Source organism: Homo sapiens, chromosome 16, assembly GCF_000001405.40.
Source record: "Homo sapiens chromosome 16, GRCh38.p14 Primary Assembly".
NCBI classification, from domain to species: domain Eukaryota; kingdom Metazoa; phylum Chordata; class Mammalia; order Primates; family Hominidae; genus Homo; species Homo sapiens.
This window is the reverse complement of record NC_000016.10, coordinates 5,597,857-5,620,601: the sequence shown is the minus strand read 5'-3', so window position 1 is coordinate 5,620,601 and position 22,745 is coordinate 5,597,857. Positions and strand designations below refer to the sequence as shown.

The 22,745-nt window shown below is 47.3% G+C and overlaps 1 protein-coding gene and 1 long non-coding RNA gene across 5 annotated transcripts in view; one reads left to right on the top strand and one right to left on the bottom strand.

The window, feature by feature from the left end:
• The window catches only part of RBFOX1 (RNA binding fox-1 homolog 1), a 2,473,620-nt gene that overhangs the window by 2,092,739 nt on the left and 358,136 nt on the right, over positions 1–22,745 (bottom strand). For all 4 annotated transcript variants that reach the window (NM_001415887.1, NM_001415888.1, XM_017023318.3 and 1 more), the window contains one exon: positions 21,641–21,700. In NM_001415887.1, coding sequence (NP_001402816.1) covers positions 21,641–21,700 — 60 coding nt within the window. The remainder of the gene's footprint in view (positions 1–21,640; positions 21,701–22,745) is intronic.
• LINC01570 (long intergenic non-protein coding RNA 1570) lies at positions 4,352–19,433 on the top strand. Its single transcript, NR_110902.1, has 3 exons — positions 4,352–4,476; positions 9,203–9,367; positions 18,938–19,433. It is a non-coding gene; the product is annotated as a long intergenic non-protein coding RNA 1570 (long non-coding RNA).

Genomic DNA, 22,745 nt, shown 5'->3' with positions numbered 1-22,745 from the left:
AAAGAGAAAGCCGTAAGAAGACACAGCAAGAAGATGACCATCTGCAAGCCAAGGAGACAGGTCTCAGAAGAAACCAACCCCGCTGACACACTGACCTCAGGTTTCTGGCCTCCAGAACTATGAGAAAATGCATTTCTCCGGTTGAAGCGATCAGTCTGGGTGATCTGTGATGGCAGCCCCAGCCAACCAACGCAGCACTGAGAACAGAAAGTACTCAGCCAACCTCAGATCTTGCTATGCTGTATAGAGGCAACAATGTGATGTCTCTCCACACCATGTGTAGAGATGCGGCAATGTGGGGAAGAGAGTGAGATCTCAATTCAGATGGCATGTGTTGGGTGGATCCCTAAGCTCAGCTTTCCCCTCCACAAAACGGGGCTAATGCCAGGACTGATGATCCTGGGATAATGTGAGCATGGCGCAAAAATGTACGCAAAGCTCCTCGGGTTCCAGCAGCCTACTCAGAAACATTGCCACCTGACTGTAATGTTCACTTTCTGCTGAACTAGGAAAGTAAGCGAGGCCAATGAAACAGTAGGCGCCAACCCAGAAGGTGTCATGAGTTCAGGTCTTGGAGTTTCATGAGACTTTTCTTTCTTTCTTTTTTTTTTTTTTAATGCATCCTAGGAATTTACTATCTGCACAGAGATTTAATAAAACAGAAAGAGCACAGTAAAAAATAATGGCTGTAGAAAGTCAGCATATTCTTCTTTAAAGTCTTAGGCCACCAGGAGAAGGAAGTGAGCCCCCATGTCCCCAGGGGACCTGCCCAGGTCTGACTGCCTTCACGGAAACTCAGTGAAAGGACATGGAAGAGAGAGGTGAGCCCAAGTACAGAGAAGGGAAGCAGCTTACTCAGGTCTCACCATGGGTCAGGCAGCAAGCTCCCAGTGGAGCCTCCTCTCCAAGAGTTTCTGGCAACAGCTGGGCAGAGATGCAGGCCCCCCTCTTTGCCACCTGCTAATGGTGTGTAAAGGAAAGCAACTCTCCCTGCCCAAGGGTCACTCACAGCTGATGGAAAAGCTCTGTCCGGAGGCAGTCTGGCGAGATTTTCAATCCAATTTCTCTCGAGTGAAAGGCTAACAGGATAAGATCGCTCCCTGTTAACAACCTGGATTGTGAGTGAAGTCTCGGGGTTGGGGCGAGAGATGAGGTCATAAAATCAAGAGCTTACCTTGCAAAGCAATCTAGTCCCAGCCCCAGGTCTCTGGGCCTCCCTGCAGAGCCTGTTAATCTCATGTTGAACATGCCCGTCCCTGGGCACTATCTGCCAAGGAACTCAGGCCCTCCGTTCCAGGGTCAGAGTTCCATAATGATGTTTGCAGCCAAGGTGGCTGGAGCCCGGGAGGCCTGTCTGTCAGCACCCTACACACTCCTTAGTGGGAAGAGAGTGGGGCCAACACTGTTTTTTAAGAACGAACATAGCCTTAGAGCTGAGGCCTCACAGGTAACCCCTTTGCACGTCTTGTAAAATGGACAATTTTCCCATGTGGTTCCTCCAGCACTGCAAATCAGGCACAAACTACGGTGACTGTGAATAGACTAGACATTTTGTCCTGTCCAGGGGCAACAGCCACATTCCTCCTAAATAGCCTGGCCTCCCTGGAACCACCGGAGCAAAGGATGCCGGCTGGGAGGAGCCGGCACCCATCAGCTACCCAAAGTCATCTGCCCTACCTGGAGCTCTCCAGATCCCATGATCCTGCCCAGCAGCAACAGGAAGCTGGGTTCTGGATCTGACACCCACTGGTATCCAGACACAGCAAAATCCACATTGAAGGTTGCCTTTTAACGCTTTTAAGTAAAAGCAAACTCTCCAACAGAAACTAACCTGATTTACCTTCCTGAGCTGGCTTCAACCTGACCCAAAATGAGAATTTCAAAGGGATGGATGGTGTTCATGGGCATTTCTTTCTTTTAAAACAGTTTTTTTGAGGTATAACTTACGTACAAAAATCTACAGCCAGCTGGGCGCGATGGCTCACGCCTGTGATCCCAGCACTTTGGGAGGCCGAGGCAGGCAGATCACAGGGTCAGGAGATCGAGAACATCCTGGCTAACACGGTGAAACCCCAACTCTACTAAAAATACAAAAAATTAGCTGGGCGTGATGGCGGGCGCCTGTAGTCCCAGCTACTTGGGAGGCTGAGGCAGGAGAATGGCGTGAACCTGGTGGGTGGAGCTTGCAGTGAGCCGAGATCGCACCACTGCACTGCAGCCTGGGTGACAGAGCGAGACTCTGTCACACACACACACACACAAAAAAAAAAAATCTGCAGCCATCTCCTGTATATGATTGGATGAATCTGGACTCATGCATATACCCACACAGCCATCATCACAGCAAAGGAAACAGATGTATGCATCAGGTCAGGATTCCATCTCTATGACTCTCAGAAACGAACAAAATTTACCAAAGGAAAGAGACGACAGAGTAGGGAGAGCTGTTGGTGGACGGGCAGTGGGAAGACTTCCAGGAGATAAAAATACTTTACATCATGATCTGAGTGGTAGTAATCCAGAGATACACAGATGTAAAAATTCATAATGTTGTGTACTCCAGATTTGTATAATTTATGTTATGTAAGTTATACCTCAATGTTTAAAATTGCCAACCATTTCCTGGGTACCTTCTGCATGCCAGAGCTTGAACAAAAGACTGATGGCTTGAACAATACCCTCCTAGTAGATACCAGGTAAGAGTGTTACCTTTCATAATGTCACAGATAAGCTTCGGAAATGCTGCCTAGGGGAAGGAGAGACACTCTCATCATCTATTCTTCTATTAAATATAAATGGCTACCTGACCTGGGCTCTGCAACAAATCAAAGAGCAAACCTTGTTTTTCCCGTTCACAGCATTAGCTTAGGAATATGGAGAGACAGAAATAAAGACAAGACAGAAAAAACACTAGCTTTCCAGGGTATAGTCCTCAGAAACAACTCATTTTCACTGAATACCTGAGAATAAAGACAGCTTGATTACAGTAAGATTGGCAAAACCCAAAGAATGCAGAAGACATATGCACCTGTCTTTTTCCACAATGCTGTGCTAGCATTTCTGGACTTCAATGGACGCTACTGTGTACAGGACACCCTTAAAGGAGGGGAACAAGCCTGATGATTGGAGAACACAGAGTCCCAGGCAGACAGAAACAGCTTCTGGGGTTTTTGACTCAGTGCAAGGCTGGCTTTGACTGCTGAGCACCCGGGATGGGAACCAGAGAAGACTGAGCCAGAAAACTCGTGAAGACCTCAGGACCATGGGTAGCAGGAATAAGTGCTCACAGGCTAGTCCGAAGGGCAGCATTGAACCTGAGTCTTCAAAGTGAATGGGAGCTTTCCAGGTAGGGAAGTTAGAGGAATGCCATGTGCTAAAGATTCTGGGGTCAAAGTCGGAAGTGAGGGGATGTTGGCACAGAGCCTCAAAATGCATTTGTTAAATCTGTGCGTGCATTCATGAATGAATGAGGGAGGGAGGGACGGACGGAGGGAGGGAAGGAGGGAGTGAGGGAGGGAATGGATGGCTAGATCTGAGGGAAATTTCAACCCCTCAGCAACCGCAGCTGGGACTCATGATCTAGTCTCTAACTCAGGAACTGCCCTCCGGCCAGTTTCACTTGGAACAAATAAGGGTACTGCCAATAAGTATCTATTTAATTAAAAGAAAGCTGGCTGAGCCAAAGTGAGGGGGTGGAAAAAGAGGCAGGGGAGAAAGGAGGAAGGGGAGGGGTGGGGAAGGGAGGATGAGGAGCAAAGGAGGAGAAGAAAGAGAAAGAAGAGGATGGAGGAGGGGGAAGAGAGGAGAAGGAGAAAGAGGAGGAAAATAGGGGAGAAGGGGGGACAGGAGAGGGAGAAGGGACAGGAGGAGGAGAGGGACAGAAAGAGGTGGGGAGGACAATAGCAATCAGGGGGCGGAAGATAAAGGGGAGGATGAGGGGGAGGAAGCAGAGGAGGAGGGGTGAGGAGGAGGAGGGAGAGAGAGAAGAGAGAGGGAAGAGGAGGAGGAGGAGGGAGAGGGAGAAGGGAGAGGGAAGAGGAGGAGGAGGAGGGAGAGGAAAGGGAAGAGGGCAGACAGCGGCATCTCCAAGAGCTCGTATTCACGGTGGCAGCAGTTCAGTGGGAAAATCAAGGGCACTGTGACACAAGAACCTCCTGCTCTAACAAGCCAGATGCTCCTCTGAGCCAAGGCTCTCAGGAGCAGCGCCTGGACCTCGCTGGCCAGCACCGCAGACAAGCTGGGCCCAGAGATGAGCTCCCTCCCAGGGGCGGTGTCCGGAGTGACAGCTCCAGGAAGCGGCCACCAGGTGGCGTGTGCGCCTTACTTCCTTCCCAGGTTTCCAGCCGCGGGAGGCAGAGGGTGGTGCTGGGGTTCCAGGAAGCCGAAGGTCCTTTCACAGATGGACCGTTAAGCCAGCCCAGGGGACGGCAGAGCAGCCTGAGGGAGCAAGAACTGTCACCACGGTCTGCCCGCGAAGTAGGTCCACACTGTCCCTTGCAGGTCAGGGCTTAGCTTACAGGTGCTCCCAGAGAGACCCCGGAGCAGGGAGGGGAGTGGAGAAGAGCTCTGGGTTCAGATCTGATCTTGACCACAACAGACGGTTCAGGTTCAAACCATGCTTCCTGGAGACGCCTCTCAGCCCAACTTCAGAGGGGAAAGAAGCGTTCCCATTAACAGAAGCTCCACTGTGACCCGTTTTAAGCACTGAACAGCGGTGCCACAAATAATTGGGGAGAAAAAAAAGTCCACAGCTTAAAAAAGCATTGAAGACCCCATTGCTAACACTGGTGGGCTCCCATCATGGGGCAGAAACCCAGATAGGCACTCATCATCTGGGGTCCTTTTTCCTAACGGGGTCCCCCAAGTTGATCCAGGCTCAGGTCCCACAAAATGTGGATCTGCCCCCTTCTTGACACATAGAAACGGCTCGATCCAAAGTGGCTGACCAGCAAGATAGGATGGCCTCCATTTTGCAGATGACAAGACTGAGGTTCAAGGACCTATGGGAACAGGACGGAGCTGGGACTCCCACCACATCTTCAGATTGGCAGCCAGCTGCCTTGTCAAAATACCACTCCAATGTCCCTCCTGTCCTCATGTCTATGGGGAGAGGCTAAAGGCTAATAAGGTGCCTGTTCAGATAAACGTAGCTGTCTTCAGAGCAAGTAGACTTGAGCAGTACACACCACTCACTCTTCGAAGCTCTAGGGTCTATCAAGCACACATCAAAAAGTGGCAGCTTTGCCTCTTAGCTTGTCAAAAAAACTCAGCTGCTGGGTGCAGTGGCTCCTTTCTGTAATCCCAGTGCTTTGGGAGGCCAAGGCAGGAGGATCAATTGAGTCCAGGAATTAGAGACAAGCCTGGGCAACATAGTGAGACTCCATCTGTACAAAAATGAAGATAGCCAGATGTGGGAGCATGCACCTGTAGTTCCAGCTACTTGGGAGGCTGGGATGGAAATATCACTTAAGCCCAGGAGTTCAAGGCTGCAGTGAGCTATGACGGCACCACTGCATGCCAGCCTGGGTAACAGAGTGAAACCCCATCTCAAAAACAAACAAAACTGAGCTGAATGCTACACACTTTCTGTTGCCCATCATCATGGAAATCTGGGTGCAAAGCTCTGACCCCACCCATCTCTCATCACTCTTCTCTTCCAAGTACCTCTCACAGCTCATGGACCAAACCCCCACCCTCCCTGTGTTCTTCCTCCTCTGTCATGTCATGTAAGTCAACGGGTGTGCACTGTCCTTTTCTCTAAACGATAAGCATATTATCTTGGCCAGGAATGAATGTCGGATGTTTTTGTTTTTAATTTGTGCACCTTCACTCACCCATAGCATCTCGCATCTAGATTTGCATTCAGTAAGCACTCAATAAATGTGTCTTCTTCCTGCTAGTACAAGATATGTACAGGGGGTAGGGGTGGAATGTTGACAACTGGAAAATGAAAGTGTTTCAGAATTATGGAGCAAATGAACAGGGAGATGTATCGTCTATAATAAATATACCTCTGAAGAGCCTTAAAAGAAATCAATGAAGCACAACATCAAAGTCCCAGGGAGTGACAAATCAGGAGCCTGATAGACAAAAGTGCATCCGAAGTCATTTAAAGTGCACCAGAAATCATTTATGTCTGAGTAATTAGAACACATTGGAACGACTCTGTGCCAGTGAACTGAAATTGAGCAACATAATGTTTATGAAATCCCCATGGACTCAGGGAGGATAACCAGAGATGAAAGTTGCATTGAAGATTCTCCCCACTGGCCCAGAGCCCTCCTGCGTAGTCCCCAGGAGAGACCTAGGGGGAAATGAAGTTTCTGTTTAGTCCATGTGCAAATTTGTTTTCTTCTAGTTTAAAAATGTCTGCAGTCTCAGTTGTAGAGGGAAAAAAAATGTCAGGCTCAGGCTGTACGTGACAGGACAGGATCCCCCAACCACCTGATCCGCACCTCCCAACCTAGAGGGAGTCTAAGACAGAATTGAGACCAGGTGGGCATCATTCCTATAAAAAGGTGGCCATTCTTAGCGAGAAAAAGGCTGGGCTTCTTTCTCAGTGTTCCTACAGAATTTGACACTCCCTCCACAGCCCCATTGAGAGAAGTGGAGGGAACTGACCTAGGTCAAAGAGCTGGGACCCTGAAAGGCAGCATCAGGATAAAAAAAAAAAAAAAGTCCAAGGAAATTCTACAGGAGGAAAATGGGAGATGAAGGAGTCAGAGAAGAAAGAGGGACTTCTATGCTCATCCATAGAATCCAGTCTTCGGATGCTGGCTGGGGAAGAAAAAAAAAAACCCCATCTACCTTGATTTGGGGAGTTAAACAAGGATGACAGAACCTTGAACTTGGAGATGTGCAAAGAAGCCCTCAGGCATCAACTGCTTTTGTGAGCTTTCCACTCAGTGATGGAACCTGGCCCCATAAACATGACCCCAATATGGTCCTGGTACTGGACTGCCTCCCCCCATGAAATGATGGTCTGAATTTGTCCATCAAATGAACTTGACATGCTGGCGTCTTTATCAGCTCACAGATAATGAGAAAGGAAAATTTCACTTGGAGTATGACTCTCTCATTCCCCTCTGCCCTCAGTTTTAGACCACAAATCTCAGCTTCTGGGAGCCATAATCAGGGCTGCAACCCTGTGCCATCAGCAGATATGAAAGCAAGTGGAAGATCCCTACATATATGGGATGCAGGTGAGGGTAACGTTGCACCCACGTACAGAAATATGTCTACTTACCCTCCCTCTGTCAAGAACCTGGTAGGCTTATATTGGGGAACCCACCCTCAACTGTGCAAATGCAGAGATACTGCAGGCATATGTGTGTTCTGAGCCTTGAAGGATGTCCACCCACATGTTGGGTGTGGGGAGGTTCTTCTGAAGCCTGAAGGAAGATTTGTCCATGTCAACAACTGTTTCCCGTCTTGGTACCCCTGTGATTCTGTCCCCTGCTCCAACTGAGGCCCCTCAAAGAAACCTGAGGAATCTTCACAAAATGCAAATCCAATCACCTCCTTGAAAACCCATCAGGGCCCTCCCCTAGCCTTAGTCCCATTCTCATGGGCCCCTGAGCTTCAGTCTTGTCATCTGTAAAATGGAGTCCATTCTACCTTGCTGGTCAGCCACTGTGGATTGAGTCCTTTCTATGTGCCAGGAAGGGGCCAGATCCATGTTTTGTGGGACATGAGCCTAGGTCAATTTAGGAGACCTCGTTAGGAAAAAGAACCCCAAATGATGAGTGCCTAGCTAGGTTTCTGCCTCATGGTGGCACTGAGGTCTTCAATGCTTAGGGTTAAAGACCAGCATCCTCACCACGGCCTGGCCTCACTGGAATGCTCCTCCTCCCTGAACTCCAGCTACTCTGGCTATCTTTTAGCAGTTCCTAAAACTCCTCTGGCCACAGGGCCTTTGCACATGCTATTTCCTCTGTCTAGAATGCTCTATTCTCGCCTGACCTTGCCCTGTGGCCTTGAGAGCTCAGTTCATGAGCCTCCTCCTGGGAAAACCCCAGACATATCCACCATGTATGCCCGGTTTTATTATAAAAACCTTTCTCAGAGCCATTATCTACCTTGTGAAGCACTTTTCTTCATTTGTAGATATACTTTTGTATGAGTATCTGCTCAATCTCTGTCTCACTAAACTGTAGACCCACAGAGGGGGGGTCCTAGTGTGTCTTGGCTTGTCACTATAACCTTAGCAGCTTCACAGGACCTGGCACATGGTGGCTTCCCAATATTGCATGGATGGACAGATGGAGTGGTGGATAGGTGGATGAGTAGATGGGAAAGTGGGTGGGTGGGTGGATGGGAGAGTGACTGGGAGAGTAGATGGATGGATGGGAGAACTGATGGGAGAGTAGATGAATGAATGAATGAATGAGAGTGGAGGGGAGAATGAATGAATGGATGGGTGGGAGAATGGGTGGGTAGGTGGGAGAGTAGACGTATGGATGGGAGGAATTATGGGAGAGTAGATGAATGAATGAATGAATGAATGGGATGGATGGGAGAGTAGGTGGGTGGGAGACTAGATGGAGAGATGGATCAAGTAATATTTCCATCCCAGCCTCCCAAGTAGCTGGGACCACAGGTGCATGCTACTACATCTGGCTGTTTTTATTTTATTTTTTGTACAGATGGGGTCTCACTGTGTTGCCCAGGCTTGTCTAATTGCTGTCCTCAAGTGATCCTCCTCCCTTGGCCTTACAAAGTGCAGGGATTACAGATATGAGCTACTGCACACAGTAGCTGAGTGACGGGAGAGTAGATGAATGGGTGGGTGGGTGGGTGGGTGGGTGGATGGATGGATGGATGGATGGATGGGAGACTGAAAAGAAGGGTGAATGGATGGATGGATGGATGGATGGATGGATAGATGGATGGATGGGAGAGTGGGTGGGGGAGTGGGTGGATGGATGGATGAGAGAGTAGATGGAGGGATGGATAGGAGAGTGGCTGGATGAACAGATGGATAGGTGAATCACTAGTTTTTGTTGATACTGGTTTATAAAATTGATCATTTTTATCAGTTGAAAGAAGTTGAGTACACAGAAGTGCAAAGCAAAAGGCTACTGAAGAAGAGAAAAGCCAGTGTAGGAGCCAAGGAACACAGCAGCAACAACGCTGGTAGGGAGGCAGGTCCACCAAGTCATTCATTCGTTCTGTTAGGCTTTCTGTGCTCTTACACGTGCAGGCACTGAGGTGATGCTGGGGTTGCAGTGAGCTGTCAAACTAGATGTGTCAGAAATGAGAAAGGAGATGAGAGAACAAATTAGAATACAGAGTGATCGACACTTTGATGAAGGAAGTAAGTGGAGCCTGGGGTCCATGAAACCCACTGCCAAACCAACCCAGACAGGTGAGTAAGAACCTGCCCTAGGTAAGGCAGTACCTTAAAGATGAACCCAAGATTTCAGGGGAAGGCAGGCAGGGAGACTGGGTGGATTCGGGATGGAGATGTTGCCAACAGAGCACATGTGGGTCAGAGAGAAAGCACGCCACACCTAAGGATGTGGATGATGCTCTAGTTGTCTGCTGGGGAGATATGGAAACAGACTAGGCTGTAGAGAGACACAGAGGCCACATCGTAGGATGCTCTGTAAGCTGTGTCAAGGAGTTTGGATTTTAGCCTGAGAACCACAGCCCACAACTTGAGTGTTAAAATGCTCAGCCAGCCAGGGACTAGAGGGATCTGATTTTTATTTATTTTTATTTTTATCTTTTGACAGATAGGGTCTTGCTCTGTCACCCAGGCTGGAGTGCAGTGCTGCAATCATAGCTTACTGCAGCCTCAATCTCCTGGGCTCAAGCGATCCTCCCACCTCAGCCTCTGGAGTGGCTGGGACTGAAGACATGTGCTACCACGCCATTAAATTTTTAATTTTAAAATAATTTTTTTTTAATTTTCTGATTTTATAGAGACAAAGTATCCCTATGTTTCCCAGGCTGATCTCAAACTCCTGGCCTGAACTGACCTCCTGCCTCAACCGACCTCCTGCCTCAACCTCCAAAGCACTGGGATTAACAGCATAAGCCACTGTGCCCAGCCTAATTTTTACTTTTCAACTTTGTACGTTGCGGTGTTTTTAATACCCCTGCCAAGACCACAGTTTTAGGTAAACCGCCATCCTGCCTATACCCATGTCCCTGTTCCCTTTCCTAGCTGTGTGACCTTGGGAAGTTCCCTTGCCTCACGAGGCATCAACTTGCTCTTCTGTTAAACGGGGACAACAGAACCCCGTGAGACACTCTGACAATCACATGAAGCTATGTGAATAAAACATGGGCCTAGTACATAGCGAGTGTACAGCAGCTGCTCACTAGTCTTTCAACAAGTAGCGACTGAGAGTCTATTACATGCAGGCACAGGCATAGGTGCTGGGGATACAAGAATGAGCAAAACACTGGTAATGGGACAGACTGATGGTAACGGGACAGACTGCTGGCATATTGGAAATTCAGAAAACTCCCTGCCCTCCCAGTGGCAGGAGGTACAGCAAGCCGGCAAGTAAGTAAAATACACTGGATGTCAGAGGGTGGTGCTCAGTGTTGTGTGAGCATCAAAGCAAAGAAAAGAAGAAGGGTGCTAAGCAGGGCTTAGACATTTAAATAAAGCCATCAAGGAAAACGTTGCAGAGAAGATAATATTTGAATAAAAACTCAAAGAGGGTAAGAGTACAAATTATGCTGATGTCGGTTTTGTCTTCCACCCCGCCCCCACCGTCTCTGCACAGTCCTCTGCTCCCCACCCCCACCTACCCTCTCCGCAGCTCCTAGAACAGTGCTCTGCACAAAGTAGGTGGCCGATAAAAAATATTATGAGATTAACAAGTCTTAGGGAAAAGCATTTGTGGTCAGGGGAACAGCATGTGTAAAGGACACAAGGCATGAGGACCATGAAAAACAGTCAAGCTGAAAGGTACCAGGACACTGGGGGCTGCCTTGTACATGAGGGTTTGGATGCAGGTCACAGGGTCCCATTTGGTTTGGCCAGGCTCTGGCCTGGAGTGACGCTGGGTCAACCTTCGCTGACACGGTGGACATCTCTACATGCTTGACACCTGCCACTACTCCAGGACGATCCTGCCCTTTGTCTCCACAAGAAGGAAATAGCCTTCTTGAATAAAAGCCTGGAAGCTGACCTCTCCTCTGCCCCCAGCAGGCTGACTTTTCCCTAGAGTGGAAGGTGACAGGCATTCACATTCCACTCCTGTCTCAGACAAGCGACAGAGAATGTAAGATGGCTGGATGGGTTTTGCTGGTAATGGGATAGACTGATGGCGTATTGGAAATTCACATTTAAAATACAGCTCTCCTTTCTGTAAAATGAGATAGCATCTACCAATTCGGGTAATGAATACATAACTTAAAAGCAAGCCATGGGAGTTTGGAAGAAGGCCCCAGGTAGTTTCAGGTGGTTCGGCCCATTTCGATACACAGCACAGAGCCCTCTCCCCTCCCTCCAATAATTTTATTTCTTAGCAAAATCATTACTGAGAATATTGAACTCCCTTACAGAGATGTATTTGCTCCCCTTATCTTCCTTCCGTCTTTCTTGATTAAAAGCTATGTGTGATATTTGTAGTTATCAAACATCAATATTTGGCATGGATTGGCGAAATGGATATGGGGGGAAGAAAGGAGTCTGACCATTTCTGTAAAGGGTAAAACCTTGAGCAAACAGACTGCATTTCTTATTAGGGGCACTAAAGAGCAGAGATGCATTTCAGAAGGGACCACTCGGACTGCACCCCAACAGGCTTTGTGAAACCAATGATCTGGGCTCAAAATTAGATTCTGGATTACATCAGGAAAGCCAGCTACCTTCAGAGGATAGGGGATGGGAGGGAGAGTTAAGCAGTGTATCTCACAACTGTTAGCCCTACAACTATTACAGGGCTTGCAGCCTTGTAACAGACAACTCCAGCACTCAAACTGGACAGAGCTGAAATAATCAATAATAATAATTAAACCTTCTCTAGTGCTCTCTCCTAAGGCTTTACCTATATTAACTCGTTGAATCCTCATAACAATTTGATTTATCAACTCTGTGTTACAGATGAGAAAAGTTACAGGCACAGAGAAGTCAAGCCACTGGCCCAGGCTTCCACAACAAATAGGTGGCAGGGCTGGGACTCAAGGCTGCAGCCTGGTTCCCAGCCATGCACAGAACCACTTTGCCATATTGCCCCTTCATCATGTGGCCACGTGTGGACCCTCACACCTCCAGAGCTTCCCAGAATCATGGTATGCTATGACTGCTCAGACGGCTGCTGCTGTTACGGAAACAGAGCCCTTGGTTCCCGTCCTACACCCTTGCAACACTGACCCAGTCAGCTGAGACTCAAAGTGCCCCTCCGTGAAGTGAGGGTAACAACAACCACACTTGCCCCCGGGGTGTTATGACAATTCACAAGGTATGCGCTCAGACAATGAGCTTCCAAGTGGGATTCATAGTCATTGCTGGTGGGAATGAGCACTGGAACAACCACTTTGGGCAACTTTTGGACAGTAGCTACTCAAATTAAACATGTGCCTATTCTGTGACCAAAGAGACACACTCCTAGGTATATTCCCCAGATAAATGAGTACCTGCGTCCACCAAACAACAGGTGCACGAGTGCACATAGCCCCAAACTACAAACAACCCCAATGCTCATCCATGGGAGAATGGATACATTATGGTCCAATCATACAATGAAATCCTGTCCAGCCATTAAAAAGAGTAGCTAGTGGTACATACAGTAGCATAGGTGATTCTCCTAGGGATGCTTTTGAGGGAAAGAAGGCAGATACATATGGACTGCAGGGGTCCATTTATAGAGATTTCAGAAATGAGCCCAGTGGAATTGGAAAGGCAGTGACCTCAGATTGGGGCAGGTAGTGTCGACAGAGAGAAGTATGAGGGAGCCTTCTGGGACAGTTTACATCAACAGAGCTGACACTTTCATTCACTCATTTCAAGAACAAGCCTTACTAAGCACCTACTGTATTTTAGGCACCCCATCAGGAGATAGGAAGGAGAAAAGACCTTCACTCCCCATCCGTAGTTCAATGCCAACATTGAAACCCGTCAGTATCATCACCGTGACTCCAGGGGGCACAGCCATCCTCAGAGATTAGGGGAAATCACTAAATAGATTTCCCCTCTTATCTGGCAGAAAGCAACAGAGAGAAATGGCAGACCCTGCGCTATCTGTGCCTGAGGTCAAGAGTGCCACTTAGCATTTCGTCCCAGCAAGTCCAACTTCCTTTAATCAGAACCATGTGGCCAACATCACGGGTGATATTTTGAAGGGAAAGAATTTAAGCCTCCATGTCTCACTGCCCCGAGTATCAGCTTTGTCCTCCTGCTCCTAATGCCGTTATCTCGTCCGCACACTTGGTTTTCTGCCGAGCAGACGCTGTAGAAGGCACATTAGCAGTGAGAAGTAGAGCGTGCCCAGGAGTCTGGGCGTAGAGCTGGTGACCCCTCTGCTCCCCAGCCCACTCCAGTGAGGAGACATAGTGAAAAATGCCCAGGAGGGACCAAGGCCTCCCAGCCTCCTAAGCCAGGTCCCAGGGAGATCTTTCTAAAATGCAAATTGGATCCAGACAATCACCAGCTTAAAACCTTTCAGTGGCCACACACTGATCACAGCAAAAACTCAATTTCTTAACTACTATGGAGCACTGGGGCATGCCTGCTTCTCCCGCCAACCCCTGACATCCCCTCTTCCAGACTATAACAGACCCAAGTTCATGCCCATGTTTCTGATGATTCTGTTCCTTCTACCTGGAGCCCCCCATCTCCTGCAATCAGTGTTACGACTCCCACTTGTCCTTCAAGACTCTATGTATCACCTCCTCTGTGAAGCCTTCCCTACCTGTTTGCACTACCACTCAACTTTATATTCTTCCTACACTACAAAGCAATCAGATTGTGCCTCAGTTATGGGCTACTTCTTATTCATCCTGTGTCCTCCTCACAGACTGCAAGCGCTTTGAGGGCACGGTTTGAGTCTTATTCATATGCATACCTTCCAACTCTTAGCAGTGACTGTGATATAATTTAGGGAGTTGGGGGTGGAATGAGGAAGAGATGAGAAGTGAGGGAGAGAGGAGGTGAGTGAGAGAGAAGGTGAGGAAGGAAGGGAGGGAGGAATGAGGGTGGAGGGCATTTTGTGGTTGGAGAGCAACACAACCAGAGTGACTTAGGAAGAATCTCTGAACAAGGCTTTTCTGATGACTATGGATGAATGGTTAGGAATTTGGATGGTCAGATCTGAGGGGAGAATTCAAGCAGAAAGGATAGCCTAAGCAAAGGTCTGCAGTCAGGGAACATGGGGCATGGACACTGGAGGACAGGGTGGGAGGAGAGTAGCAGATAAGGTTGGAGAAGCCACCAGATAGTATCCCAATGCCAAGTATGAAATCACAGGACCTTGCTCTCTACTCTCACATCACAGAGAGCTGCTGAAATATGTCAGAAAGGAGGAGCCATGGTTCAGCAAGTGAACTGATCAGACAGTGGGTCAACTAGAGACATGCCACGGGCAACCTCTGCTAACTTCAGATTGAGAGTAAGACAGGAAAATGCCAAGGATGCCAGGGAAGAGGGAGGAAAGCTATGCCTGTGAATATACAGAAAGAGAAGCAATGGGAAAGGTGGGCCAGCTTATGGGTTCCATGATGGCTGCTACAAGTCTCTATGAGACACCTGGAGTTGGGACAGCATCTGTGTTGGCACTCTCCCCTCCTGTTCTCAAGGCAGACATTACCATTCAAGAGTACCATTCTTCTCGCCTATACCAAGGAAGACATTACTAATCAATGGTGCCACTCTCCATTCCTGTACCCAAGGCAGACATTATTAAATTAATGGCCCTACTCTCCCCTCCTAGACCTGAGGTAGACATTACTCATCAAGGACAACACTCTCCCCTCCTAGACTCAAGGCAGACTTACTCATCAATGGCACCACTCTCCCCTCCTAGACCCAAGGCAGACATTACTCATCAGTGGCACCACTCTCCCCTCCCAGACCCATGGCAGACATTACTAATCAATGGCACCACTCTGCCCTCCTATACCAAAGGCAGACATTAATCATTAATCATCAGTGGCACCACTGTCCCCTCCTATTACTCATCAATGGCACCACTCTTCCCTACTGAGTACAGATATAGCCTTGGCATCCTTGACCTGGGACTGGGTCTAACCTCCACTCCCATCTGACTGCCGTCTATAAATGAGGTGTTACCTACTCTCCATACATGGTTACAGGCATCATAACCTGGGATCAGGGACGTGAGAGCAGAAAGAGCCTGAGAAACCCTCATTTCACAGACACGGAAGCCAAAGTCCTTGGAGAGTTGGTGGTGGAATCAGAGATGAAATCCAGTCCAATCTGCCCCATCTCTTTCTTCAACATTCTGCTGCACCTTGGAGGGTAAAACAGGGAACAAGCCTGTCACCACTCACAGCAACTAGAAGCCAGAGCAGAAAGGACAAGCAAACCTGCCTCAAACTGGCGTCAAACCTGAGTCAATGCTCAGCGGAAATGAAGGCCGGGTGAGTGGGTGTGTGTGCGCGGGCTGTAGAGAAGGGAACAGGAGTTTCACTTCCATCCCTCTGAACAACACAGATCACTTTTGCTAAATTCCAAAAGGTGGCAGCATTCCATCAAATATTCATTTGCTGAGACTGCAGCAGGGGACGTCCTACAGAGGTGACATGGGCAGGAAGTTAAGACGTCCAGATGACTAGGGGATAAGGAAGTCTGGAGGGTCAAACACTGAAGTGGTCTGGTTCCCGGGGGGCCCATGAGCCCCTTTTCTGCAAGAAAAAGGGAAAATGCTGGAGAGAAATAGCAGCACACTTGGCCCCAAGAAGAGGAGAAATCCAGACTCATCTCGGGACTGTATCAGCATGGACAGACCTCAGTGCGGCCCCATGATCAGTAGCATGTAGGCAGGACCCACGAGTTACTTCTAACCAATAGAAAAGATGATGGGCATGCCATGATTATGTTGGGACATGTGTACACAAGACTCCATGTTGCTAACATGCACTAGAGAGACACTCCCGGGAAAAGCACACTGTCACATTGTAAACTGCCTGTGGAGAGGGCCATGTGGCAGGGAACCGTAGGTGGCCTCTAGGGTCTGAGGGCCTGCATCTTACAGCCACAAGAAATTGAATTATTCCAACAACCAGTGAGATTGCAAAGGGACCCTGAGCTCCAGATGAAACTCCCAGCTCCTGCCAACTCCCTTGCCTGCAGCTTGGTGAGAACCTAAGCAGAGAACCCAGTTCAGCTGTGTCCAGACCTATGACCAATCGAAGCAATAAGATGGTAGACAGGTGTTGTTTGAAGCCACTTAGTCTCTTAAGCACGCATAAAAAATGAATTTTTTGTATTCTTATTACAGAAAAATACAGGGGTTTTGAAATATGGCTCTGGAATGAGGCAGAACAAAGTAAAAATTTGGGTTCTTCCACTTAACTGCACTATGCTTACTGCCTTGGCTATAGAAGGGGAGAGTGACACCATTGATTAGTAATGTCTGCCTGGAGTATAGAAGGGGGGAATGGCACCATTGATTACTAATGTCTGCCTTGGGTATAGGAGGGGAGAATGACACCATTGCTTAGTAATGTCTGCCTTGGGTATAGGAGGGTATAGTTTCTACTATATCAAGAAAGAGAGAAAAAATAATAGTGCGGTTCTTACGCTGGACAGCATCACTTCCACGAGTTCAGGATGCATTTGCTCCAGAGTGAACCCAAAAGGAAACATGTACCTGCAAGTTTCTCAGTCTCATTCCCAAGTGCCTCTCCATCTTGTGGCCACATGATCACAGATGACTGCAATGTTTAAAGACAGGTATGTTTCATTCATCCACCATGCCACCTCAACACAATCACTTCATCTGGCATCTAAGCAAAGACCCTCATTTTTTCTAATAATCAAGGAAAGTGTGGCTGTATTTGATGTATCGAGGGGCAGAAAGATTGGTCTCCAACAGGACTTGCACAAGTAATTGACCAGGTGTAATTTTTATGTTACCTGATGACTCTGGAATTAACTTTGCATCTAAGACACAGGTTCCCAGAAATGCTCCCTGCATCACCAAAAAGAACCTGCTGGCCTTCCCCTCAGCTCAATGCAGCATGGGAAACAGCCCAATCTGGGTCTGAATTTCAGACTGCTTCCCCATTAGCTATGAGACTGTGCAAGCCATGCCCTTCTGAGCCTCAGTTTCCCCATTTGTAAACAAATAGTTTGAATAGGTCTTCCCTCCTTGGACTACTCTGGGTAGAGAAAGATACAATGCCTGTGAAATGGTGGGTGCAATGCCAGGTACTTCCTAGTTCCCAAAGATGCTAGCTGTTATGATTATTTTATTCTGAATGCTGGCAAAATATACTTTCTGCATCCAGGGAAAGCCCTTTCTGGGAGACAGTGCCAAAGCAGACAGGTGGAGGTCAGAAAAAGTAGAGCTGACTGGTGCCACAGGGCAGTGAGTAGGAAGGGCGGTGAGATGCCATGGCCTGGAGTGTTCTGCATTCTGGAGCAGGCAAGGACCAAAAAGTCTATCTAAAGGCCACATTTAGTCTTGTAAACCCCATTTTCACTCCTCTAGAGGAACGACACAGCATTTCCATGACAACTGAGAATGAAACTTGAACGAATATGCCGTCAGCTCTCCTGGAAAACCTTCTTAACAGTCCAGAACACACTGCTTAATTTCATAAATAGTTATTACTATTACTAGTATTAGTACTATTATTACAACTACATTATTACTACTATTACTACTACTGCTTCTTACTATATTACATTTATTACAACTACATTATTACTAATATTATATTATTACTACCACTGTCAAAGAAAATAACTGCTCACTATAGAAAAAAAATAAAAGGGTCTAAAGGAAAATGCAAAAACCAGTAATTTAGTTGAACTTTCCATCTGCCTTTCTGACATCTCTCTGCACTCAGAGAAAGGGAGATCTATGAATACAGTTTGCACACAATTGGAATCATATAATACAGGCTGTATTTCTCACTCAACAGTATGTCATGTGCATCTTTCCAAGTCAATAAACATAAATCCTCACCACAAAATCCTAGCAGCAGCTTGGAATTGGACTTTATGGATATACACAATTGACTTAAACTATCCCTTACTGAGGGATATTGAGGGTACATCTTTTTAAAAATTATTTGTGCTACTACAATCATTTCCTTAATAAATATACAAACACATCTCACACTTGTACAATCATCTCCAAGGTGCAAATTCCCAGAAGTGTAATTGCTAGACCAAAGATGGAACACATTTTACATTTTGACACATGTGAATGTGAGGCAATCTGCCATCCAGAGATGGTCAGGCCAACATATGCTGCCTCCAGTAGAGGTCGTCAAAATGACTGCTTCTACCCATGACACATTCCAAGGCAAGACAGGAAGCTGACCTGTGAGAGTCCAGCCAGAAGGACCCAGCTCAGCAGCCCTGCTACAGTCAGAGGGTGGAGATGGAGGAGCAGGTTAAGGCAACTGGATCCTCACAGCCTGAATCTCTGCAAACCTAGAAGACTCTACAGCCTCCAGAGGAGAAACCAGCAGGATACCATCATCCCTTCCACTAGAGAGAACACATCAGCCTCCATGAGTGAGGTTGGGGGCCAGGAAATACCTGACCCAACCCAAGAGAGCTAAAAATCTAGCAGGCATAGGCACTATTCTAAGCACTGGGGAAATGGAGCCATCTCAGACACCTTTGATCCTATTGTGGGCAATTAACTTTTTCAACTACTTTCCCTTCAAAAGCTTCTGTGCCACCAATATCAAGGCTCTTTAGTAAGTCACTTTCCTGCTCCACGCCTCATTTCCCCATCTGCAAAATGTGTTTAGTATCTTTGTTTTCTTTCCATAGACTCAGTGTGACATTACAAGCATCCTGGGTGGAACTGCAAGACATAGTTATTTCAAGATTATGAAGAGTGTGGTAGCCAAACTCCAAGATGGCCGCATGATCCCTCCTCCAGGTACTCGTGCCCTTGTATGGTATGCTCCCACAGTCTTCCGAGGATTCCGTTGTATGACTGATCGAATACAGCAGAGGCGATGGCATAGGACATCTGAGGCTACATCATCTAAGGGATACACAGGAATTCACTCCCATCCTCCCATGTGGCTTCTACTTTGCTCTTAATCTCTCAGATCTCTCACCCTGGCAGACACCATCCACCATGTCCTGAGGACACTCAAGCAGCTCTGTGGCCTCCTGACAATAGCTGTTAGGTGAAACACCTTGGGTGCAGACCCTCTAGCCCCACTCCAGCCTTCAGAAGACAGCAGCCCCAGCTCACATGGGACCCTGAGCCAGACCACCAAGCAAACCACTCCCAGATTCCTGACCCACAGAAACTGTGAGATAATGAAAGTCTGCTGTTAGAAGTCACTAAGTTCAGTGTAACTGTCACGGGCAAGAGACAGCCAATACAATACTTTCGTGCTTCATACATCATTTTTCCATCTATCCAAAATGGGAAGAATACTTCACAGACTTGATGTGAAGCTGCAAGACTCCTGGTACTCCACTGATGCAGGTGGGTCAGAGGGTAAGTCCAGGCTGTGTGACCATGGGCAATTACTTTGAGTTTTGGTTTCCTAAGCCACAAAATGAGGATAAAAACAGCACACACCTTACGGAGTCATTGAGAGGATGTTAAAAGAACAGAGATCAAACATTTGGTCAACTGAAAAGTGGGATAAGAAAGTTGGGTGTGTGGTTGTCATTTTTCATCATCCCTTTCCTCTTCTTCCTCTTCTTCTTGGCATCACAGGTAAACACTACTTTCAGATGATCCATTAATGAGGTTTATTATAAAAATCCAGCCTGGAAAGTCATTTTGGGGGAATAGACAAGCACCAAGCAGTGGGCCCTTACAGATTCCAGTTTACACCAAGCAGTGGGCCCTTAGAGATTCCAGTTTGCACGAAGGGTCAGTATAGCTTGGTGCATAAAGAGGAGGGAACATTCCAAATACAGAGCACACTCATGGACAAGGCCCAGGGCCAAGCAGACTTTTTTTTTTTTTTTTTTTTTTTGAGACAGGCTCTTACTCTGTTTGCCCAGGCTGGAGTGCAGTGGCATAATCATAGCTCACTGCAGCCTCCATCTCCTGGGCTCAAGCAATCCTCCCACCTCAGCCTCCCGAGTGTCTGAGACTGCAGGCGCACAACACCACGCTCAGCTAATTTGGTTTTGTTTTTTTTTTATTTTTTTTTATTTTTTTGAGACGGAGTCTCGCTCTCGTCCAGGCTGGGGTGCAGTGGCGCGATCTTGGCTCACTGCAAGCTCTGCCTCCCAGGTTCATGCCATTCTCCTGCCTCAGCCTCCTGAGTAGCTGGGACTACAGGCACCTGACAACATGCCTGGCTAATTTTTTTTTTTTTTTTTTGTATTTTTAGTAGAGACAGGGTTTCACCATGTTATCCAGGATGGCCTCGATCTCCTGACCTCTTGATCAGCCCACCTCAGCCTCCCAAAGTGCTGGGATTACAGGTGTGAGCCACCGTGCCCGGCCTAATTTGTTTATTTTTTGTAGAGATGTTGCCCAGGCTGGTCTCCAACTCCTGAGCTCAAGCAATCCTCTTACCTTGGCCTCCCAAAGGGCTGGGATTATAGGTGTGATCCATTAGGCCTAGCCATGAACATCTTTTGATAAAAGAATTTACTCTCAGCCTTTCACTTACCACTATCACAATGTCTCACCATACCTACATTACGATTTCCATTCTGTTATTTCCATATCATTTTTTGTCTTTGAGTCAACTCACTTTATGTTAAACTTTTTTTGAAGGAAATTTCATACCACTGCCATTAACGGAAAGCTAGTAGTGATGGCTATAAAGAGAAAATCATCATAAAATGAAATACATAATGATGAATACCAAACAGCAACAGTCTGTGTGCCACTTGAAGGTGCCATCCCAAGGTCACCAACAATACACAAACAGGTCACACTTGGGGAATGCACCACACCATGATTGCATTGCCGAGAGGCGGTGCATGAGTGATTTCAGAAGTATCTGTGCAGGGAACTTCCTGGCCACTGTTATTCGTGGGTGACAGATGAGGGATACACGGGAATTCACTGCCATCATCCCAGGTTATGTACCCCAGTGACTCCAAGCCCAATGCCATGATGCAGGACCCCAGAGCACTCAGTAAGCATTCCTGTCCTTACTAGGAAGACAACCCAATGACATTCGACTTCTTTCACGTGCTCCCACAACCTGGGGCCGTCACACCAGGGCGCAGAGGGACCAATTTGCAGCCTTGTCACCAACCACTGTGCCCCGGATCTGTCCACCAAGTGGGCCTGGTCTTTTTTAGAGGACAGAATACAGCTCTCACACCATGTACCAGAGGCTGGGAATACGGCCCAAGTGATAGAAATTGTGCAAGTGCTCTGGAAAATTTATTCCCCTCAAACCCAGTTAATTCTCCAGCAAGATCAGTTTCAGGTAAAAACCATTCCCGGTGATTGATGACGGAGACCAAAGAGGCTGAAAAGGATGCAAAAGTAGTTTCAAAATCTAATCTGTTCAGCAAAATGCTTCTACTTACGGAGTCTTGCAGGCTGTTCTTGGCACCGGGGAGGAGGGTTGAATTTTCAGACTTGTAGTCCTGGCAAAAAACAAACAAATAGAGAAAAAGGTTGGGGAAGCCGGGTTGAGGAAAAAAATTCTAACCTTGAGTAACCCAGTTTAGCACAACCCAGAATGTCTCACCACGTTTAGCCACAGTACCCTCTGTCTCTCCACCCATCCCCTGCAGGGGTCAAGACCTGCATTGCCCTGCGCAATGGCCACAAGCCCGATATGGCTACAAAGCCCCGTGGCTAGTCTCATTGAAATGGGCTGTATACATAAAATAGTCACTGGGTTTTCAGGACATGATGAAGAAAATGAATATAAAACACCTCATTAATATTAATATTTCATTATTTTTATATCGATTACATGTTAGAAAGACATTTAATAATATATAAAAATAAAATATATTGCTATGTTTAAAAATGTAAATATATTAAGACTATCTCAAAGGAAGTTTATTATTACAGTTAATCTCATCCGTTTCTTTTTACTTTTTAGTGTGGCTACCAGCAAATGCTAAATTGCATCTTTGACTCCGCTGACACTCCTGAGGCAGTGCTGGTCCGGATGTTTCTCAGTGTGGACTCCTCGTCCCAGACCGAGGATGCTGGGGGTCCCTAACCTTCCACCTTCCACTCCAGCAACACTTTGCATCTAGGGAGCATCTGCAATGCTATGCACTACTTTTTTTATTTATTTTTTTTTTTTTGAGACAGAGTCTCCCTCTGTCACTCAACCTCCCAAGTTGCTGGGACTATAGGCACCCGCCACCACACCTGGATAAGTTTTTGTATTTTTAGTAGATACAGGGAATCGCCATGTTGGCCAGGCTGGTCTCGAACTCCTGACCTCAGGTGATCCACCTGCCTCGGCCTCCCAAAGTACTAACATTACCGGCCTGAGCCACCACACCCAGCCACTGTGTATTTCTTGTGCATTTTCACCCTGAATCCTTACTAGGGTATTAAGAAGTAGGTCTTAACCTCAGCCCCGTCTCACAGGTGAAGAAGCAAAAGAGAGGCTGACGGATTTGTCCAAGGTAACACAGCACTCAGCAGGGTTGCAGTGGAGCCTCA